This window comes from Homo sapiens, chromosome 11 (assembly GCF_000001405.40).
Source record: "Homo sapiens chromosome 11, GRCh38.p14 Primary Assembly".
In the NCBI taxonomy this organism is placed as follows: domain Eukaryota; kingdom Metazoa; phylum Chordata; class Mammalia; order Primates; family Hominidae; genus Homo; species Homo sapiens.
The window spans coordinates 118,920,178-118,937,853 of record NC_000011.10 but is presented as its reverse complement, the minus strand read 5'-3'; the positions used below and the strand labels follow the sequence as shown (position 1 = coordinate 118,937,853).

Sequence of the window (17,676 nt, the reverse complement as noted above, 5' to 3'; positions counted from 1 at the left end):
ACATGGATTGGTACCAAGCGGAAGAACATTTGCATACTTTAGGGTTTTGTCTCCATCTCTTTCCTGTTAAATATTTTTATTAACAGCTTATATGAAAATATAGTATCACATTTCACAGATATAACCCTTGAGGGATAGTAAACATTGAAAGATAAGGATCCAAGAATCATCTCCATGTATAGAATGGTTAGGTAAACCTAACAGAATAAAGTGATCAGAGATCTATGTAAGACCTCAGCAATACACAGTGGGCCAGACATGGCTTAGAAGAAGTTCAGGTGAAAAAGAATCCGGGGTTTTAGTAAGTTCAGTCTAAGACATCAGCACTGGTGGGGCAGAGGGGATAGGGAGAAAGAAAAAGGGACATCAAGCTGGGTGCGGTGGCTCACATCCGTAATCCCAGCACTTTGGGAAGCTGAGGCGGGCAGATGACTTGAGGTCAGGAGTTCCAGACCAGCCTGGCCAACATAGTGAAACCCCGTCTCTACTAAAAATATAAAAATTAGCTGAGCATGGTGGCAGGCGCCTGTAATCCCAGCTACATGGGAGGCTGAGGCAGGAGAATCGCTTGAACCCGGGAGGCTGAGGTTGTGGTGAGCTGAGACCAACCGCGCCATTGCACTGCAGCCTGGGCAACAAGAGTGAAACTCCGTCTTAAAAAAAGAAAAGAAAAAGGGACATCAGGCCGGGCGCGGTGTCTCACGCCTGTAATCCCAGCACTTTGGGAGGCTGAGGCGGGCGGATCACCTGAGATCGGGAGTTCGAGACCAGCCTGGCTAACATGGTGAAACCCTGTTTCCACTAAAAATACAAAAAATCAGCCGGGCGTGGTGGCGTGCACCTGCAATCCCAGCTACTTGGGAGGCTGAGGCAGGAGAATCACTTGAACCTGGGAGGCGGAGTTTGCAGTGGAGCCGAGGTCACGCCATTGCACTCCAGCTTGGGGAACAAGAGCAAAACTCTGTCTCAAAAAAAAAAAAAAAAAAGAAAGAAAAAAGAAAAAGGGACATCAGCATAACATGACTGCCAGGAGCAAATCCAATGTTAAGTCACGTTACTGGAGATATGGTATTTGGAATAAAGGAGAAGACAGATAATCTTGCTTTATTGTAAGTTGGCCAGGTGTTATGATGGGAGCCATTGTTTTGTGACCTGGGAATGTTTAGGCAAAAGTAAAGAGTGGATCGTGAGGTCAGGAGTTTGAGACCAACCTGGCCAACATGCGGAAACCCTGTCTCTACTATAAATATAAAAATTAGCTGGGCGTGGTGGCGGGCGCCTGTAATCCCAGCTACTTGGGAGGGTGACGCAGGAGAATCCCTTGAACCCAGGAAGTGGAGATTGCAGTGAGCTGAGATTGTGCCACAGCACTCCAGCCTGGGCAACAAGAGCAAGACTCTGTCTCAGAAAAAAAAAAAAAAAGAAAGAGTAGGGACCACTAAAGCTCAAATACCTGAAGGGCTATCATGGGGAGGAAGAATTAGATTTACAGTGTGCACCCCCAAAAGGTAGTGCACGGACCACCAGGAGATAAGAGATTATCTCAAAATGAAGTTTAGTTCCGTGGAGACCACTGGTAGATGAAGTTCAGCTTTGAGGAAGGAAAAACAGATGTCCATAAACGGAGTGAGCTGTCTTGGGAGTAACAGTAAGCTCCCTGTTACTAAAGGTGTTCAAGAAGACGCTGATGGACAGGGGCCGTGGCTCTCGCCTGTAATCTCAGCACTTTGGAAGCCCAGGCGGGTGGATCACGAGGTCAAGAGATCAAGACAATCCTGGCCAACATGGTGACACCTTGTCTCTACTAAAAATACAAAAATTAGCTGGGCATGGTGGCGCACGCCTGTAGTCCCAGCTACTAGGGAGGCTGAGGCAAGAGAATTGCTTGAACCTGGGAGGTCGAGGTTGCAGTGAGCTGAGACCACCCCACTCCAGCCTGGTGACAGAGCAAAATTCCATCTCAAGAAAAAAAAAAAAAAAAAAAAGAAGAAGATGCTAATACACTGCTGGCCAGAGATGTTGGCAGGGAGGTAACCATCAGAAAGAGTTTGAAGGCTGGGTACAGTGGCTCACACCTATAAGCCCAGCACTTTGGGAGGCTGAGGAGGGAGGGTTGCTTGAGCCCAGGAGTTAGAGACAAGCCTGGGCAACATGGCAAAACCCCAGCTCTACAAAAAATACAAAAATTAGCGGGTGTTGTGGTACGTGCCTGTAGTCCCAGCTACGCAGGAGGCTGAGGTGAGAGGACCACCCAAGCCCAGGAAGGCTGAGGCTGCAGTGAGCCGTGGCAACCGCACTCCAGCCTGGGCAACGAAGTGAGACCCCGTTTCAGAAAAAAAAAACAAAAAAACAAAAAAAGAGAACTTGAACTAGGTAGTTGGTCTTTGAGATTCACTCCCTTCCTATTGACATTAATCCTGCTTTTGCTCTTTCCCTGCCCCTCACCGAGCCCTCTGTGTGACTCTGTCCCTGGCCTGTCTTTCCAGCTCCAGGTCAGTTTTCTCTTTCTCCACCAGGTCTACCTGAGGATGCAATTTGCACTGACTGCATAAACTTCATATGATTTAATTACTCAGCATCTTTTTTTTTTTTTTTTTTTTGAGATGGAGTCTTGCTCTGTTTCCCAGGCCGGAGTGCAGTGGCGTGATTTCGGCTCACTGCAATCTTCGCCTCCCTGGTTCAAGCGATTCTCCTGCCTCAGCCTCGCAAGTAGCTGTGATTACAGACGTGCATCACCACGCCAGGCTAATTTTTTTTGTATTTTAAGTAGAGATGGGGTTTCACCATGTTGGCCAGGCTGGCCTTGAACTCCTGACCTCAGGTGATTTGCCTGCCTAGGGCTCCCAGAGTGCTGGGATTACAGGTGTGAGCCACCGCGCCCGGCCTATTCAGCATCTTTTATTGTTCTCTCACTGTCCCCATCTTATAAGCCCCTTGAAGGCAGGTACCTGTATTATTTGTACAATGACTAGTAAGGATAAGAACTTGGGGCTGGGCAATATAGTGAGACAACCACCTCTGGGGAAAAAAAAAAAAAAAAAAGCAGCACCCTAGTCCCTGCAGATAAAGCAGATGTATTCCTGAGGTTGTGAGACCCTACAGGAAGACAGAAGCATTGGGCTTATTCCCTTATCTCAGAGCTATGTCTTTTTTTTTTTTTTTCTTGAGACAGAGTCTCGCTCTGTAACTCAGCCTGGAGTGCAATGGTGCGATCTTGGCTCACTGTAACCTCCGCCTCCCAGGTTCAGGTGATTCTCCTGCCTCAGCCTCCCAGGTGCATGCCACCATGCCTGGCTAATTTTTGTATTTTTAGTAGAGACAGGGTTTCATCATAATGGCCAGGCTGGTCTCAAACTCCTGACCTCATGATCTACCCGCCTAGGTCTCCCAAAGTGCTGGGATTACAGGCATGAGCCACCGTGCCCGGCAGAGCTATGTCTTTTAAAAACACTTCCTGATTTGGGATTTCAGAGCTGAGATTACAAATGCCTTAGGAGTTAGAATAGGTTGGCCTATTTTTGAGATGGAGTCTCATTCTGTAGCCCAGGTTGGAGGGCAGTGGCACGATCTTGGTTCACTGCAACCTCTGCCTCCTGGGTTCAGGTGATTCTCCTGCCTCAGCCTCCCGAGTAGCTAGGACTACAGGCGTGCATCACCACACCCAACTAATTTTTTTTTGGTATTTTTAGCAGAGACAGGGTTTCGCCATGTTGGCCAGAATGGTCTCAATCTCCTGACCTCGTGATCTGCCTGCCTTGGCCTCCCAAAGTGCTGGGATTACAGGCATGAGCCACCGCGCCTGCCTAATATTTGTATTTTTAGTAGAGACGGGGTTTCACCATGTTGGCCAGGCTGGTCTCAAACTCCTGACTTCAAGTGATCCACCCACCTCGGCCTCCCAAAGTGTTGGGATTACAGGCGTAAGCCACTGTGCCCCGCCAGGTTATAGGTCTTGACAGATGGAGAACACAAGGCCCAGGGAAGTGAATCAGTTTGTTTTAAGTCACAGAGCAGGTTTTAGATCTGGCTGGGATTGGGACTGTGCCTGGCCCAGGGCTTTGTCAACAATCCAGGGAAGGCTTTTTAGAATGAGTAAGAGAGCTACATAAATATAAACAGGGTCATGATGAGAGAGAAAAGGAGGGCCTGGGAGATGGCAGGTTCTGAGCACCCCTCCAGGCTCTGGGGGATGTCCAGATAAGGAGGCTGAGCCTGCCTTCCCAGATCGTATGGCCTCACAGGGAAATGAGCCAGACACAGGAAGAAGTCCAATGGAAAGTTGGATCAAGTGCTGCCGTGGTGTCGTGGAAAGAGTCTGGACACGGAATCAGGAGGCTCTTCCAGCTATCAGCACCAACCCTATGCTTTTAGGCGAGTCCTTTCACCACTCTGGACCTTCACCAAGCAGTTTCCTCACCTGAGAACATTCCCTCTCTCAAAAATAACAGTCCTATAGTGCTACATATTAGAGCAGATTAATACAGTAACTAAATATATTGTGGGCATGCTCTCCCCTCCAGCACAATCTCGGAAAGCCTCTTGCCTTCCATTAGCAGCAAGAATGAAATGTTCCCAGGACGCAGAACTGCCAGACCAAGGGGGCAGTGGGCGAGACACAGGTGACTGACCAACTGGCTTTCTCTGAGGTCCTGCCTATGACAGCTTCTCCTGGGTTTATGAGCTCTGGTAGCCCCATGCAGATGAGAGCTAAGTGAGGGTTTTTCTGTCAACAAGCCAACTATTTAATCGCTATCTATAGGATAAAGAAGGGCATGAAGATAAAGGCACCTAAGCCTCTTGTTTTACACTTGAAGAAGCTGCAACCCAGAGACAGGAAGTGACTAGGCCAAGGTCTTGTACTTTGGACTCTCAGAACAAAGTTCTTTTGGGACTTGGAGAATTAGAAATGGGTTGTTTGGGGCCGGGCGTGGTGGCTCACGCCTGTAATCCCAGCACTTTGGGAGGCCGAGGCGGGCGGATCACAAGGTCAGGAGTTCAAGACCATCCTGCCTAAAACGGTGAAACCCCGTCTCTACTAAAAATACAAAAAATATTAGTTAGCCAGGCGTGGTGGTGGGCGCTTGTAATCCCAGCTACTCGGGAGGCTGAGGCAGGTGAATGGCGTGAACCCAGGAGGTGGAACTTGCAGTGAGCCGAGACCGCGCCACTGCACTCCAACCTGGGTGACAGAGCGAGACTCCATCTCAAAAAAAAACAAAAAACTAAAAACCAGAAATGGGTTGTTTGGGTCAGGCATGGTGGCTCATGCCTGTAATCCCAGCACTTTGGGAGGCTGAGGTGGGCAGATCACAAGGTCAAGAGTTTGAGACTAGCCTGGCCAACACGGTGAAACCCCATCACAACTAGTAATACAAAAATTAGCCAGGCGTAGTGGCACATGCCTGTAATCCCAGCCACCAGCTACCAGCTACTTGGGAGGCTGAGGCAGGAGAATTGCTTGAACCTGGGAGGCAGGGGTTGCAGTGAGCAGAGATCACGCCACCGCACTCCAGCCTGGACGATAGAGCAAGACTCTGTCTCGGAAAAAAACAACAAAAAAAGCATTGTTTGGGAACGCCGCCTTAGAGGCCTCTCATAACAACTGGTGGAGAGCCTTTGGTGGGATGCTATTTTTTTTTTTTTTTTGAGACAGGGTCTAACTCCAATTGCCCAGGCTGGAGTGCAGTGGCACGATCTCGGCTCACTGCAGCCTCGACCACCCCTGACTCAGGTGATTCTCCCACCTCAGCCTCCCAAGTAGCTGGGACTACAGGAATGCGCCACCATGCCTGGCTAATTTTTTTTTTTTTCGTACTTTCAGTAGAGACAGAGTTTTGCCATGTTGCCCAGGCTGATTTTGAACTCCCAGACTCAAGCAATCCACCCACCTCAGCCTCTCAAAGTGCTGGGATTACAGGCATGAGCCTCCACACCCAGCCTCCTATTCTATCTTTAGAGCTCTAGTGAGATGTACTGTTTGCCTGGACAGAACCATACCTGATGCTGGAAGTTCCAGCTCAGACAGTTGGTCCCTGCAGGAAGCTTCCCCAAACTCTCAAGTCTGGGATTGGTGTCCACTTCCCCTAAATGTGCCCACACTGAATTGAAATCACCCACTCACTTGTTGTCTGACCCCCACTAGGCTGCAGGCTGTGTGAGGAAAAGGACAAACATCTATGTCACCAACATGTACCAACCTAGTGTCTAGTCAAGTGCCAGGCACATAGCAGGTCCTCAATAAATATCTGTTGGATGAATAAGTAGGTGGGGTTGGTCAGAGAAGGATTCCTGAAGGAAAAGACTTTTTTTGTTTGTTTGTTTGTTTTAAGAGACAAGGTCTCATCTGGTTTGAGTTGGTGTTTGAAAAAATAAATAAAGAGACAGGGTGTCCTGGTGTTGTCAGGCTTGTGTGCCCAATCCCACCATGATCAGCACCAGAGTTTCAATCTGTTCCATTCTGACCTGGGCCAGCTCACCCTTCCTTAGTCAACCTGGCGGTCTCCCACTCCTAGGAGGTCACCATATCGATGCTGAACTTGGTGTGGACACCCATCAGCATAATGCATTGCAGCCCAGAACTCCCGGGGTCAAGTGATCCTCCTGCCTGCTAGCTGGGACTACAGGGCTTGCCACCGAGCTGGGAGAAAAGGCAACTATTGAGGTATCACAGGGTACAAGGAGGACAGAATTGTCCCCAATTGGGTGAACTGCCCATGCAAAAAGAAGTCTTGAAAGGAAAGTAGTGGGAAATAAGGACAGGGAGAAAAGTAAGGCAATTGAAGGGGAGGGGGGGAAGGAGCCCTTCAAGATGATTGGCTTTGCTAATCAGGGAGGGCTTTGGGTAGATGGGAGGAAGGGTCTCAGCCATGTTGGGGATAAGAACACCTGGAATCCCTCAAGTGGAGTCTTTTTACAGGGAGGGTCCTAGAAATCAGCTTGGCTGGAGGGGAGAGAAGCTGAAGGGGGTTGGGGTAGCTGGTAGGAGCTTTGAAGCCTGGCTGGTTTGTATTTGATGCTGGGGTCTGGAGGGAATGGGTGCTCTGGGAAGGCCTGAGGCACGGAAGGAAAAGGTAGGAGCAACTTCCTCCTACAGACCCTCTCTATTAGATGGAGACCCTGGGAGGACAGGGCCTGTATCTTCTGTTTTTTTCCTACCCTCCTCCAGGTGTTTGGGACCCACAAGTAGAGCCCCTAGGGCAAGGATCTGGAATTGGCTGAGGCAGCCTACTGAGCGGGATGGTGTGGCAGGGACTGTGGGAGCTCCCTCCTTCCATCAGCCTTCCCAGAACGATCTCCTTCCCTAGGAAGGTGCTGTTCCCGCAAGAGGCACACTCTACTGTCGTCGCCAGTGTTCTTCTTCCGCGAATCCCCATGTGAGCGTATTTTTTCCAGCGGCTGCTAAGCCAGATTTAGCCACCAGGGGGCAAAAAAGCAGCCCTTAAGGTCAGTGTCCCTCCTCTTTCCCCACCCACACACCTGAAGGCCAAGATGGGTGGTGCCTCACCTGGCGCTCCATTCGAGCGCAGTAGCTGCGTTAACCCCTTCCTGCCTAGTCTGCGGTATTCCCTCGGCAGAGTCATCCACAGCAGAGTTGAGGGTCACAGAGGACGGGGGAGGGGCTGTTCGCTAGGGGAGGGGCTAGGGTAGAGGTGAAGTCAGGTTTCCAGCTACTCAGGTCCTTAGTCCTCGCTGGAGCTAGGGGAGGCTAGCGTTCCCTGCCTCCGTTGGGTAGTTAGCCCCCCAGATGGGTGAAGCAGCCCCTCTGGGGGCAAGAGAGGCATGGGCTGCGGTCACCTGCGCTGGGCCTCAGAAGTGGGATGTAGAGGAGAGCGCTGAGGCAGCTACAAAACCCAGACTTCCGGGCTCCCCTGCTTCAATCTGGCAGGGACCTCGGCTGTCGGCTGCAACTTGGAGATGGGGGTGGGGTGGGGGAAGGGTAGCCAAAAAGTGGAGGGAGAGTCCCTGAGGCGGCGGTGGGGAGGGGAGGCAGGGAAGATTAGGCAAGAGAGCGGGCGATTCCCGAACCGTCAGGTGCCTTGTTTTGCGTGTGGCGACTCCAGAACCAAGCAGCCTTTCAGGGCACTGGAACCCAACCAGTTCCGGGATTGCGTTCCGGGGCACAAGGTGTTAAACTGTGGGTGGGAGTGGGGTCCGGAGTCCCTCCTCCTTCCCTCCCTCACAGCGTCACCACCACCGAGTCCACCAGGCTGGCACTCAAGGAGTTAAGTCTGCCCGCAATCTGCAAGACTGGAGCCGCGGAGGGGGAGGAGGGGGAAGCGGAGGGGGTAGAGGAGAAGGGGGAAGCAGACTGCAGGGAGACAGCGCCAGGAACCCCCTCCCCAGGGTCCGGCCCCTGGGCCCCCAGCCCCAAAAGAGGCCCTGTCCTCCCCGGGGTCGTGCTCTCTCCCCCCGCCCTGCCCCCGCCCTCCAGCTTTGTGTCCCCAGGAGGGTGGGCTGCAGGATTTCCAGCCAAGCCTTGCTGCCTGCTCAGTTTTTCCAAACCCTCCAGTCGGGGAAGGCGGCAGTGGTGAGGGATAAGAGTCCCTCCCCCCTGCCCCAGCCGGCCCCCTCTCTCAGCCTCCCTTTCCTGCCCCCACACCTTTTCCAAACTCCTTCCCGTTCCCACCCTGGCCCCTGCTCCTCTATTGGCTCCCAAGTTGCAAGCTCAGGTTGGAAGGGGCCAGGCGGGTCCCACTATCCTGAGAGGCGCTTGTGAATCCACACTCCTCAGGCCGACCCTGAGACCCGCGGGGCACCCGCCCTGCTTCTCTCCGCTTGGCGCCCGCCCCATCCCAGGACCTTGTCCTGGGGTCTCCCACCCCGAAATGGAGGCGTTGCTGGGGGGCGCCGGCAGAACCCGGCAGCAGGCTCTGTGTGGCAGGTGCCAGGCCCTGGGGCAGGCTTCGAGGAGGGGGCAAAGTGTTCCGAGCGCTGGCACGGTTCTGTCCAGCAAGTCTATTATATAATCACCATCTATCAGGAAGCCAGGCAGCTGGAGTGAGTGGGGAAGCCAGGATGCCCGGATCGGCTCTTCCTCCAGGGCCCAGGACGGTGTCGCCACCAAGATGGGGGTGCGGGCGCAGCCCAGCAGTGAGATGATGTGGGGGTCGAGGGGCAAGTGAGGGGCGCTGGGCAGTCAGATGGAGGCCCCACAAACCCCGCCCCCAGACCTCTGACTGACAGTGCCCTGAGCCAATGATTGAAGTCACTGTGGGGCTCTGCGTTAACTCTTTCTTGGGTCCCTATTTGCTTTAGGTGATAGAGTCCTTTTCAGGAACTGTTTGGTCTGGACTCCTCCCACCTTCTCGGGCTAGTGCTCCAGCCGGTGAGGAGTACCAGCTGGAGAATCCTTTTGTCCTAGTAACCCCGGCAACGGGATGCCTAATCTCAGACCCCCAGCAGCCCCAAAGTAAATTGTATTACAAGATACGGTTGTGTGTACACACTGTGCTTCCAGAAACAGCCCCTCGTGGCGCTGGCACACCCACACTGCGTCACGAACGGGCACCCTCACGCACCCATACCCATGCGGGCACTTCCACCGACGAACGCCAACGCTGACACACCTGTGACACCCCTCGTGACACAGTGACACACAGATACACGGAAAGACAGAGGTTCCCCGAGTTGGCCAGTAGAGGGAGCCGCTCGATTCCAGCAAGGGCCCCCTGCCTCTCTCCTTTCCTCCTGGCTCTCTCCAGGGTTCCACCCAGAACTTGTGGCTGCCCAGAGCTCAGCTCCGAATCCCAACCTGGAACCTCCGCTGGGGGAATGAGTCACAGCCCCACCCAGGGGAGCGCTCCGCGTGGCTGCTCCATAGGACATGTATTGTGCACCATTTAAGAGACCCCTGGCAACACAGACTCACTTGCCCCTGCAAACACTGTTTTGGACCTACTACGAACCAGGAATTGTGCCAAAGAGATCATAACAAGCCCCTTTGGCTTGTCATATATGTAAGGGGAGACTGATCCACATAAATGCAGTGGTCCCCTCTAAGAAGCACCCTGTTGGAGAAGTGGGGGCCCATATTATGTCTTTCTGGAGAGGAGATAAGAAATTAAACCTTATTTCCATGGGTCAGGTACTAGCCTAGGTGCTGGGATCTTTCACATTAGAAGCCTCTCTGGGCTTTGGTTTTCTTTTCTTTTAAGTGGGGATAAAATCGACTTCTCAGGACTGTGGTGATTCAACCCCCTAACCCAGGACAGTGCTTGGCACAGCAGGCTGGCACTTGGAAAAGTTTTGGTGATTGGATCAAAGCATCATCATGAGACAACGTGCATGAAAATGCTTTGTAAGCAGTGATGGGACACATGGGGGGGGGTTACTATGTTATCTTCTTTCAGGTTTTTGTCCCCTTCCACCTGTGCCTCCCTAAACCTTGTCCAGTGCCCAGCTGTTGGCACCATCAACCCCTCAAGGCCCTTAGGAATCTTTTGGGGGAAATCAGACATATATATATATGTGTGTGTGTGCATACACCTATACATATATAGGGGTGTGTGTGTGTATATATATATGTGTGTGTGTGTGTGTGACAAGATACAACACATCAGGAAGTACTCAGATGCTATGATGGGATAGGTGGTCAGAAGAGAGGGAGGTCAGTGAGGCTAGAACTATCTGGGGACCATCTGTGAGGAGGGGCAGGGGAGAGGGCCGAGGAAACAGCAGGAACAAGCAGGCTGGCTAGTGTTCTTCCTATCAGACACAGTCAATGCTTGTCACTTGCTATTAATTCTGGGTGGGTGGGGACAGTAGGAAACAGGGAAAGTGCCCTGGGATAAGGAGACCCAAATTCTAGTCCTGGGCTTACCACTTTCTAGCTGGGTAGCTCTGGGTAAGTCCTTAGGTAATGCAAACCTCAATTTCCTCACCTCTGTAATGGGACCATAACCTCTTTCTTGCAGGTTTGTGGTGAGCATTGAAACATGTGAAATGTTTTTAAAAAGCGCTTTGGGCCGGGCGCGGTGGCTCACGCCTGTAATCCCAGCACTTTGGGAGGCCAAGGCAGGTTGATCACCTGAGGTCAGTAGTTCGAGACCAGCCTGGCCGACATGGTGAAACGCTGTCTCTACTAAAAATACAAAATTAGCCGGGCATGGTGGCAGGTGCCTGCAATCCCAGCTACTTGGGAGGTTCAGGCAGGAGAATCGCTTTAACCCAGAAGGCAGAGGTTACAGTGAGCTGAGACCGCGCCTTTGCACTCCAGCCTGGGCAACAAGAGCGAAACTCCATCTCAAAAAAAAAAAAGGGCTTTACATTTTCTTTTTCATTGCCTCGATCGTCCTATAGGGTGGTGAGAGTGTGTGTGTGTGTGTGTGTGTGTGTGAGAGAGAGAGAGAGAGAGAGAAGCACTTTGAGGTTAGGTTAGGAGAGTTCTTTTGAGAAGACAAAGGTTTCACTTCCACAAACATTTTCTTAGCATGCACTTTGTGCTGCTGAGGATTGAGATGAAAAAACTCAGTCTGTGTCCTCAAGGACCTCATGGTCTACTAGGAGAGACATGAATAAAGAGATGCTCAGTGCATTATGGATGTGGGTGGGTACAACGAAGAGGGGACCCAGTGCTGTGTGTGTGTGTGTGTGTGCGCGCGCGTGTGTCCAGGCAACTTCCACTCCTTCCAATCAGTGCAGATAGGAAGGTAGGTTTGTCAAACCTTTCCCTAGCCTGGGATGTTGTTGGCGCGTCTCCTCCCCAGTTCTCAGGAGTGAGGAGGAGAGCAGAAACCCCCCTCCCCGCCCCCGGGCCAACCTGCCTCCCGCTAGCCGGCCGGGCGCCTTACCGAGTCAGACCACTGGGAGGCTGGGGGAGCCGGGTTGGGCGAGGAGGCAAGCGAGATGGGGGAGCTCTTATTTTGACAGGGGCCTCTCCGGGCTCTGGTATGAAGGCAGAAGGAGGCAGCCAGAGAGCCCCGATGCTTATTCAGGCTGGGGAGTGGAGCCGAGTGGAGGGGCAAGCGAGGCTCCGGCAGCGCAGGGGAGCCCGGGGAGGCGGCGGCGCGCGGCGGAGCCAGTGGCTGGACATGCCCCGGACCCGGGGCCGCTGCACCACCGCCGCCGCCCGGAGCCAGCCGGCCGGACGCCCGCACGCCTGGGTCCCCCGGCGCCGCGCCGCCCGGGGGCTGTGACCCGGACCCTCGGAGTCCGACCAACAATAAGCGCCCAGACAGCCCCTCCCCACCCAGCGCCCGGCATTCCCGCGGGCTTTGGGGAAAGGAAAGGAGAGGCGAGGAAGGAAGGAAGGAAGCAAGCAAGCAAGCAAGGGAAGGAGGAGCAGGAGCAGGAGCCGGAGCCCTGAGGTTCGGGGCCGAGACCCCGGCCCCGCGCCCCGGCCCCGGCGGGTGTGCGCGCTCTCCCGCCACTGCCCGGCGCCCGCGACCATGCTCCGCGGTTGGGAGGCAGGAACCCAGGCACCCAGCGATCCCCGGATAGCCTCTCCCGGGCCGGGCTGGTATTGAGATCAAGGCGTCCAGGATCAAAAGATCACCGCCTGCCCGCCCCCTCTGCATCTCCAACTGGCGAGCAGGAGGACCCCCATCCACACAACGACCCTGACCTGGTCATGGCGTCCAGCTCCGGCCTGGCGTGAGGACCCCCCAATCCGCGTGAGGTGAGGGGTGGGCTGGGGGCAAGGCGAAAGTCATGCCAGGCCAGCAGAGGCGCGAGGAGGGAGATCCAGTTTGAATCGGGGAGGGGAAACACAGTCTGATTGTCTCTTGCTCTCTGGCACGTACCCCCAGGCTGTTTAAGGTGTGGGGGACTCCCCCAGGGTCAGTGGAGGCTACTCTTAAGCCCCCAATCAGGTTGGCAGCTCCAGAACACCGTGGGGAGGGCTTAGGGACAGCCAGGGGACCCTGCCACCCTAGCGCAGAGAACAAGGCCGGCCTTGGGCCAGCTGGAGCAGCGAACCTTGCCCTGGGGGCTTCTGGGAGATGTAGTCCCCCTCCCAGGCTCACCAACCCCGTGGGTCTCAGCACCCCAGCCCTCCTCCTCTGGCTGATAGGAGCCTCCAGAAGGAGGTGGGTTGGGACTGGGGAGAGCTGGGGGTCACCCTTTTCTCCCAGGCACTGCCTGTGAGTAGCGGGGGCTGTGACTGAGGAGTCTCTTCTTCCAAGGCTTCTGAGTGATGTGGGCTTGGCTGGGGGGTGGGGCAGTCATACAGTTCCTTGGAAGTGTCCCTGCGCTGCTAAGGGGAGGTGGCCCCTGTCTTGATCCAAAGGAACCCTCGGGGAAGAATGTAGGAAGAGAAGTGAGCTTAGGCTTCTTGTTGCGCTGGGGTAGGTCCTATTCCAGGGCTGCTGGAATTTGGTTTCAGAAGAGACAGAGGGCTGCTCTCTCCTTCTGAGAAGGATAGTGTCCCTTGAAGTCTAGGAGTCTGGAGGGTGTCTCTCTGGAGCAATGAAGCTAGGATCAGCTACTGTCTGTCTGTCCAGCTTCCTTCCTTCCGGGTTTTTCTGACACCCCCTCTCTCCCTTCTCTTTCTGTCTACTGCTTGGGGTGTGTGTCTGTGTCTGTGTCTGTGTCTGGGGGAACCTCTGCTGCGAGGAGAAAAAGTGTTGCTCTGAGAGAGGTGAACTGGGCGTGTGTTTGAGCCCTCACAAAGGGGTTCCAAGCCTCCCTGGATCTTCTGCCCTCACTCCCAGCCTTGGTTTAGTGTGAAAGCTGACTGTGCCCTGTATCTGCTCCAACTCTGCTGCTGCCTCTGAGCAGCTCTCTGGATGAGACCACCACAGTGAGTGGGCTTCCACTGTCTTCTCCTTCTCTTCTTGGTCTCTCCAGGGAGCAGCCACTTCCGGGCAGGGGCTGCCTTGCTCTTCTGCTGCCTCTCAGCATGGGCCGGGCTACCTTCTCCAGGTCAGGACCACAATTTCATGACCCCAGAGGAGGAGCATGCTCAGGCCCTGTCTTCCTGGTGTCAGCTCTGAGGCCCTGCTGATAGAGGCCTCAGGACAGGACAGGGAGAGAATGGGTGAGGAAGGTGAGGAGCAGGGAGAGAGACTGGGAGGCTGGTGCCAGGAAGGAAGGTGCCGCCTCCCCCAGGTGATTTGCCTCCTTGGCCTTGGAGAGCCAGGCCTGGAAGCAGCCTTCTGGCCACCTCCCTCTAGGGGTTCCCTGCTTACCCATGTTGCTCCTGAGTGGGGTGGGGTGATGGTTCACAGCAGGAAGGGTGCTGAGGGGCAGGTAGAATACCTAAAATCTTGGATCCAGAGTGACTCTTGTGCCTGGAGTAGAAGGGGTCCCATGACTGGTGATGGGTTCTGGAGGCCCATATGGAGGTTCAGAATGAGTCTCTACTAGGATGGGGAGTCATGGGACCGGAGAGATACTACAGGGTCCTAGAGAGGGATTGGCAGTCCACAGAAATCTAGCGCCTCAGTGGCAATTTGGGACCTATTGATCTTGCCTGTTGAATCTGTGTTGGGTACCCATGACCCTGCTTAGCTAGTTCCTGCCTTTGGAGTCCTGGTACCTGGGTTAAGCGGGAGCCCTAGGCTGGGGTCTCAACTTCCAGACCAGGCAGGACAGTAGCCTCTGGGCAGGGGCCTAGGGGGTGGCAGTGTCGGCTCAGCAAGGGCTGGAATGCCTGGCACCTGCTTTAGATTAAAGGAGATGCCGAGCAAAGGGGAGCTGCCTGCCTATCAGGGGAGTGACTGCGATGGAGCTCCATGGAGCCCAGGAGTGGAGTGGGAGGAAAGGACCAGGGTTGCAGCAGCAGCTGCCGGGGCAGGAGTGGAGGGAGCCACTGTCACCCAGCTCTGCAGCCCTCCTCCAGGGAGTCCGAGAGCCACTGTCACCCAGCTCTGCAGCCCCTCCTCCAGGGAGTCCAATAGGAGGAGCTGGGGGCACCCCCACACTGCCTCTGGTACCACACGCTGAAGTTCTGTCCCAGGACCCTGGGACAGCTCTGGAGAGCTGGGGTGTTCAAGTTTCCAGTCTTCCCAGAATCAGAAGAGGCCCACAAGGAGGTGCCTGGGAAGTCCTTTGGGGTTCTTGTGGTCCTGCTGCCATGCTGGCTGTTTCTGGGGCTCCTTGGGTGCTGAGAGTGAGGTAGCTCAAGAGCCTGGGCACCCAGGGGTGACAGGGGAATGGCATCCCTTCCTTCCTTGTGCCAGAGCCCTGGGCACTGCCCGGGTGCTGACCTCCGATGGGGGGAGGGGGCAGAAGGGGGATGGCACCGTGGGAAAGTGGGCAGCCGTGGGAGCCAAGCGGGTACAGGCTGGGTGCCGCGGGCAGGGAGCCTCTGCCAGGCCCGCTCTCCCTGGGGTGGGGCCGGCTGTTCCATGGACTGGCTCAACCTGTTGAGCGCCTGGCTGCTCTAGCTCCGCATGTGTGCCCCTGCCTGCCAGCCCCGACAGCTGCCCACCCACAAACACACCGTGGGGGCTGCCCTCAGGGAACTGAGGAAGGGAAGCTCTAACTGGCCAGAGGAGCCGGGATGGGGCTGGTGGGAGCTCCTGCCAGGGCTGAGGAGCCTATCTGAGTCCCAGAGCTGGGGCTGGAGCCAGTTGGAGGGCTGGAAGGCCAGGGCTAGGAGGGGAAGGCCAGAGCACTGCAGCTCCTGAGCTGGTGCATGTCACTTGGCTCGGCGGCCCTGAAGGCTGCCTGGACTTACAGCCTGGAATTTCCTCTGCCTGGTGCCAGGGCCAGGCCTCTGAGCCCCACCCCCAGCCTGGCCTGACCTCCCCTCCCTCCCCTCCTGGGAGAACTCAGCCTGACTTTCCCTGGAGGCTGGGGGAGGGGCAGTAAGGGCATTCTGGCTGCCGTGGGAGGGGCGACTTCCTGGGTGTGGGCATGTGTTACACTGCCTCAGTCTCCCCGAGGGTCCCGCATCCTTGTGGAGAGGAAGAAAGCCTTGGGTTCCCAGGGGGATGCCCACAGCCTGCTCTGAGTGTGGGGGGTCCTGGAACCTGTGGAAGACCCCTGACTCCTGCAGGCCCTTGCCATCTCCCCATCCCCTGTGACCCCTTAGCTTTCCACCCACCTTGGGGCTGTGCTAGCTGGTGGGGAAGGGGAGCCAGGGTGCCACTCTGGAGGGGAGAAGGTGGTCACCACTGCCCAGGAGTAGGGGAAAGGACACAGACAGGTTCCCTCTGATTCTCCATGCCAAGGGGGAGGGGCGGCTTCCCCTGCCTTCTCACTTTTCCTGTCAGTGGCAAAAGCAGAGGCCTCTCCTTTGCAGCCCAGGCCCTCCCTGCTTGGCCCTGGACTGGTCCCCCTCCTAACCCTGGTGTTTTATTCTAGGCCCCCTTCCACCAGAGCTGGGACTCCCTCTGTCCGTTCCCGTTCCTCCTCCAATGGACTGGTAGCCCTGGGCTGGCCCGTCTTCCCCTCCTCCTCACTCTCCACTTCCCCACCCCCAGCCTCAACTCGGAATGGCCCTGAATCCAGCATTTCCAGCATTTCGAAACCAGGATTGTTTTGAAATCCCTGAGTGGTTCTCCACCCCCTGCAGGCTCCCCTCCTCCCCAGAGCATTGCCTTCTAATCCGACTTCACACACTCTGCGCTGCAAGTTTGTGTGTCTGAGTTTGTGTGCTAGCACATGGCTGCGTACTACTTTGTGTGTGTGTATAAGTTTGTGTGTGTGTGTGTCTCAGTGTGGGTGTATCTTCTGTCGGCGGTTCTGTTTGGCAGTTCTGTGTGATTGGCCGATGTCATGTGTGTTTCCTGAGCTCCCCTAGGCTGTCTCTATGAATACGGGAGCCTCTGTGGGTCTGAAGGGGCCACTCTTGGAGAATTTGGAGTGCTTTTTAGGAAACGTCTTTGGATGTGCATCTTTGGGAGTTGTGTCTGTGTTGTAAGTGTCCGGGGTACCTCTGGAGAGTGTGTGTGCTGGGGGCGTGTCTCGTCCACGTGTATGTGCGTGTGCGGGCACACACATGCGCTTCACTTCTCTTCCCTCCTCTCTCCTCCCTGGGAACATGTCTGGGGTATGTAGTCACAGGTCTCCCCACAGCTCCCTGGGACATGCAGTCCTCTGCCCTTTGATAGGGAAGTTTCCTGGAGTGGGGCCAAGGCTTCTGGCAGTTCCGTGGTCCTTGGAGAGAGAGTGGTGCAGTGGAGACTTTGTGATAAACTCTCCCTGGGGACTGGGGTCTCTCCCTCTACCCCTCACGGACACCTAGCACCTTGTAGGGTCCTCATACCACCTGTCCACCTCTTCTTGTCCTGATTATACAGTGGTGGTTGTTACAGAGAGGCTCGGTGTTCTAAAGGAAAAGGGGTGGGGAAAGGGAGCTAAGCCCCCACTCTGGGGTCACTTGTTCATTGAGGGCAAGGAACAGCCAATCACATTGGACTTGGGAGCTTGGTGGCAAATTTAAGGTTCAGAAAAGTTGACTTCTCCAGCTAGGGTCAAATAGCTAAACAAGAGAAGACACTCATATTTCCAGCCTGAGCAGAAGACGGAGGGGTCTGGAATCCAGGCATCTGGGGTGGGGCCAGCTGCCCTTGTAGCCTTGATCGATCGTGGGAAGTCCTTCTTGATGTTTAATCTCATTCCCTCCTACTGCACTTAGACAGTATTCTACATTAGAGGAGGTTCCTAGGGTTTTTTGATTTGGGGCCAAAGCAAGGACGGTGATAGCAGAGTTAGTGCATGGGATGCAGGCACTAGAACCCCCATAACCTTGCTGCATCTCAGTTTCCCATCCTGGGATCTCAGGATGGG

The 17,676-nt window shown here is 54.9% G+C and overlaps 1 protein-coding gene and 1 pseudogene across 5 annotated transcripts in view, besides 12 other annotated features; one reads left to right on the top strand and one right to left on the bottom strand.

Annotated features, from left to right (window-relative positions):
* On the bottom strand, window positions 6,364-6,638 carry RN7SL688P (RNA, 7SL, cytoplasmic 688, pseudogene; annotated as a pseudogene).
* Window positions 8,796-8,845: an enhancer, noted in NCBI's record as "active region_5613". NCBI's record gives its function as "activates an Ori minimal core promoter by ATAC-STARR-seq in GM12878 lymphoblastoid cells {active_cell/tissue: GM12878}" and the evidence as "EXISTENCE:reporter gene assay evidence [ECO:0000049][PMID:35858748]".
* Window positions 8,856-9,135: an enhancer, noted in NCBI's record as "active region_5612". NCBI's record gives its function as "activates an Ori minimal core promoter by ATAC-STARR-seq in GM12878 lymphoblastoid cells {active_cell/tissue: GM12878}" and the evidence as "EXISTENCE:reporter gene assay evidence [ECO:0000049][PMID:35858748]".
* Window positions 9,146-9,265: an enhancer, noted in NCBI's record as "active region_5611". NCBI's record gives its function as "activates an Ori minimal core promoter by ATAC-STARR-seq in GM12878 lymphoblastoid cells {active_cell/tissue: GM12878}" and the evidence as "EXISTENCE:reporter gene assay evidence [ECO:0000049][PMID:35858748]".
* Window positions 9,615-10,116: an enhancer, noted in NCBI's record as "H3K4me1 hESC enhancer chr11:118798447-118798948 (GRCh37/hg19 assembly coordinates)". NCBI's record gives its function as "activates a minimal SCP1, AML or CMV promoter by ChIP-STARR-seq in naive H9 embryonic stem cells {active_cell/tissue: H9 hESC(naive)}" and the evidence as "EXISTENCE:reporter gene assay evidence [ECO:0000049][PMID:30033119]".
* Window positions 10,804-10,863: a silencer, noted in NCBI's record as "silent region_3959". NCBI's record gives its function as "represses an Ori minimal core promoter by ATAC-STARR-seq in GM12878 lymphoblastoid cells {active_cell/tissue: GM12878}" and the evidence as "EXISTENCE:reporter gene assay evidence [ECO:0000049][PMID:35858748]".
* Window positions 11,684-11,823: a silencer, noted in NCBI's record as "silent region_3958". NCBI's record gives its function as "represses an Ori minimal core promoter by ATAC-STARR-seq in GM12878 lymphoblastoid cells {active_cell/tissue: GM12878}" and the evidence as "EXISTENCE:reporter gene assay evidence [ECO:0000049][PMID:35858748]".
* BCL9L (BCL9 like) overlaps window positions 11,928-17,676 on the top strand; it is a 29,791-nt gene continuing 24,042 nt past the window's right edge. For all 5 annotated transcript variants that reach the window (NR_165445.1, NM_001437465.1, XM_006718815.4 and 2 more), the window contains exon 1: window positions 11,928-12,616. The gene's annotated coding sequence lies outside the window, so the exon portion shown is untranslated. The remainder of the gene's footprint in view (window positions 12,617-17,676) is intronic.
* Window positions 12,024-12,073: a silencer, noted in NCBI's record as "silent region_3957". NCBI's record gives its function as "represses an Ori minimal core promoter by ATAC-STARR-seq in GM12878 lymphoblastoid cells {active_cell/tissue: GM12878}" and the evidence as "EXISTENCE:reporter gene assay evidence [ECO:0000049][PMID:35858748]".
* Window positions 12,269-12,770: an enhancer, noted in NCBI's record as "H3K27ac hESC enhancer chr11:118795793-118796294 (GRCh37/hg19 assembly coordinates)". NCBI's record gives its function as "activates a minimal SCP1, AML or CMV promoter by ChIP-STARR-seq in primed H9 embryonic stem cells {active_cell/tissue: H9 hESC(primed)}" and the evidence as "EXISTENCE:reporter gene assay evidence [ECO:0000049][PMID:30033119]".
* Window positions 13,142-13,211: an enhancer, noted in NCBI's record as "active region_5610". NCBI's record gives its function as "activates an Ori minimal core promoter by ATAC-STARR-seq in GM12878 lymphoblastoid cells {active_cell/tissue: GM12878}" and the evidence as "EXISTENCE:reporter gene assay evidence [ECO:0000049][PMID:35858748]".
* Window positions 13,440-13,979: an enhancer, noted in NCBI's record as "H3K4me1 hESC enhancer chr11:118794584-118795123 (GRCh37/hg19 assembly coordinates)". NCBI's record gives its function as "activates a minimal SCP1, AML or CMV promoter by ChIP-STARR-seq in primed H9 embryonic stem cells {active_cell/tissue: H9 hESC(primed)}" and the evidence as "EXISTENCE:reporter gene assay evidence [ECO:0000049][PMID:30033119]".
* Window positions 13,980-14,520: an enhancer, noted in NCBI's record as "H3K4me1 hESC enhancer chr11:118794043-118794583 (GRCh37/hg19 assembly coordinates)". NCBI's record gives its function as "activates a minimal SCP1, AML or CMV promoter by ChIP-STARR-seq in primed H9 embryonic stem cells {active_cell/tissue: H9 hESC(primed)}" and the evidence as "EXISTENCE:reporter gene assay evidence [ECO:0000049][PMID:30033119]".
* Window positions 15,604-16,144: an enhancer, noted in NCBI's record as "H3K27ac-H3K4me1 hESC enhancer chr11:118792419-118792959 (GRCh37/hg19 assembly coordinates)". NCBI's record gives its function as "activates a minimal SCP1, AML or CMV promoter by ChIP-STARR-seq in naive H9 embryonic stem cells {active_cell/tissue: H9 hESC(naive)}" and the evidence as "EXISTENCE:reporter gene assay evidence [ECO:0000049][PMID:30033119]".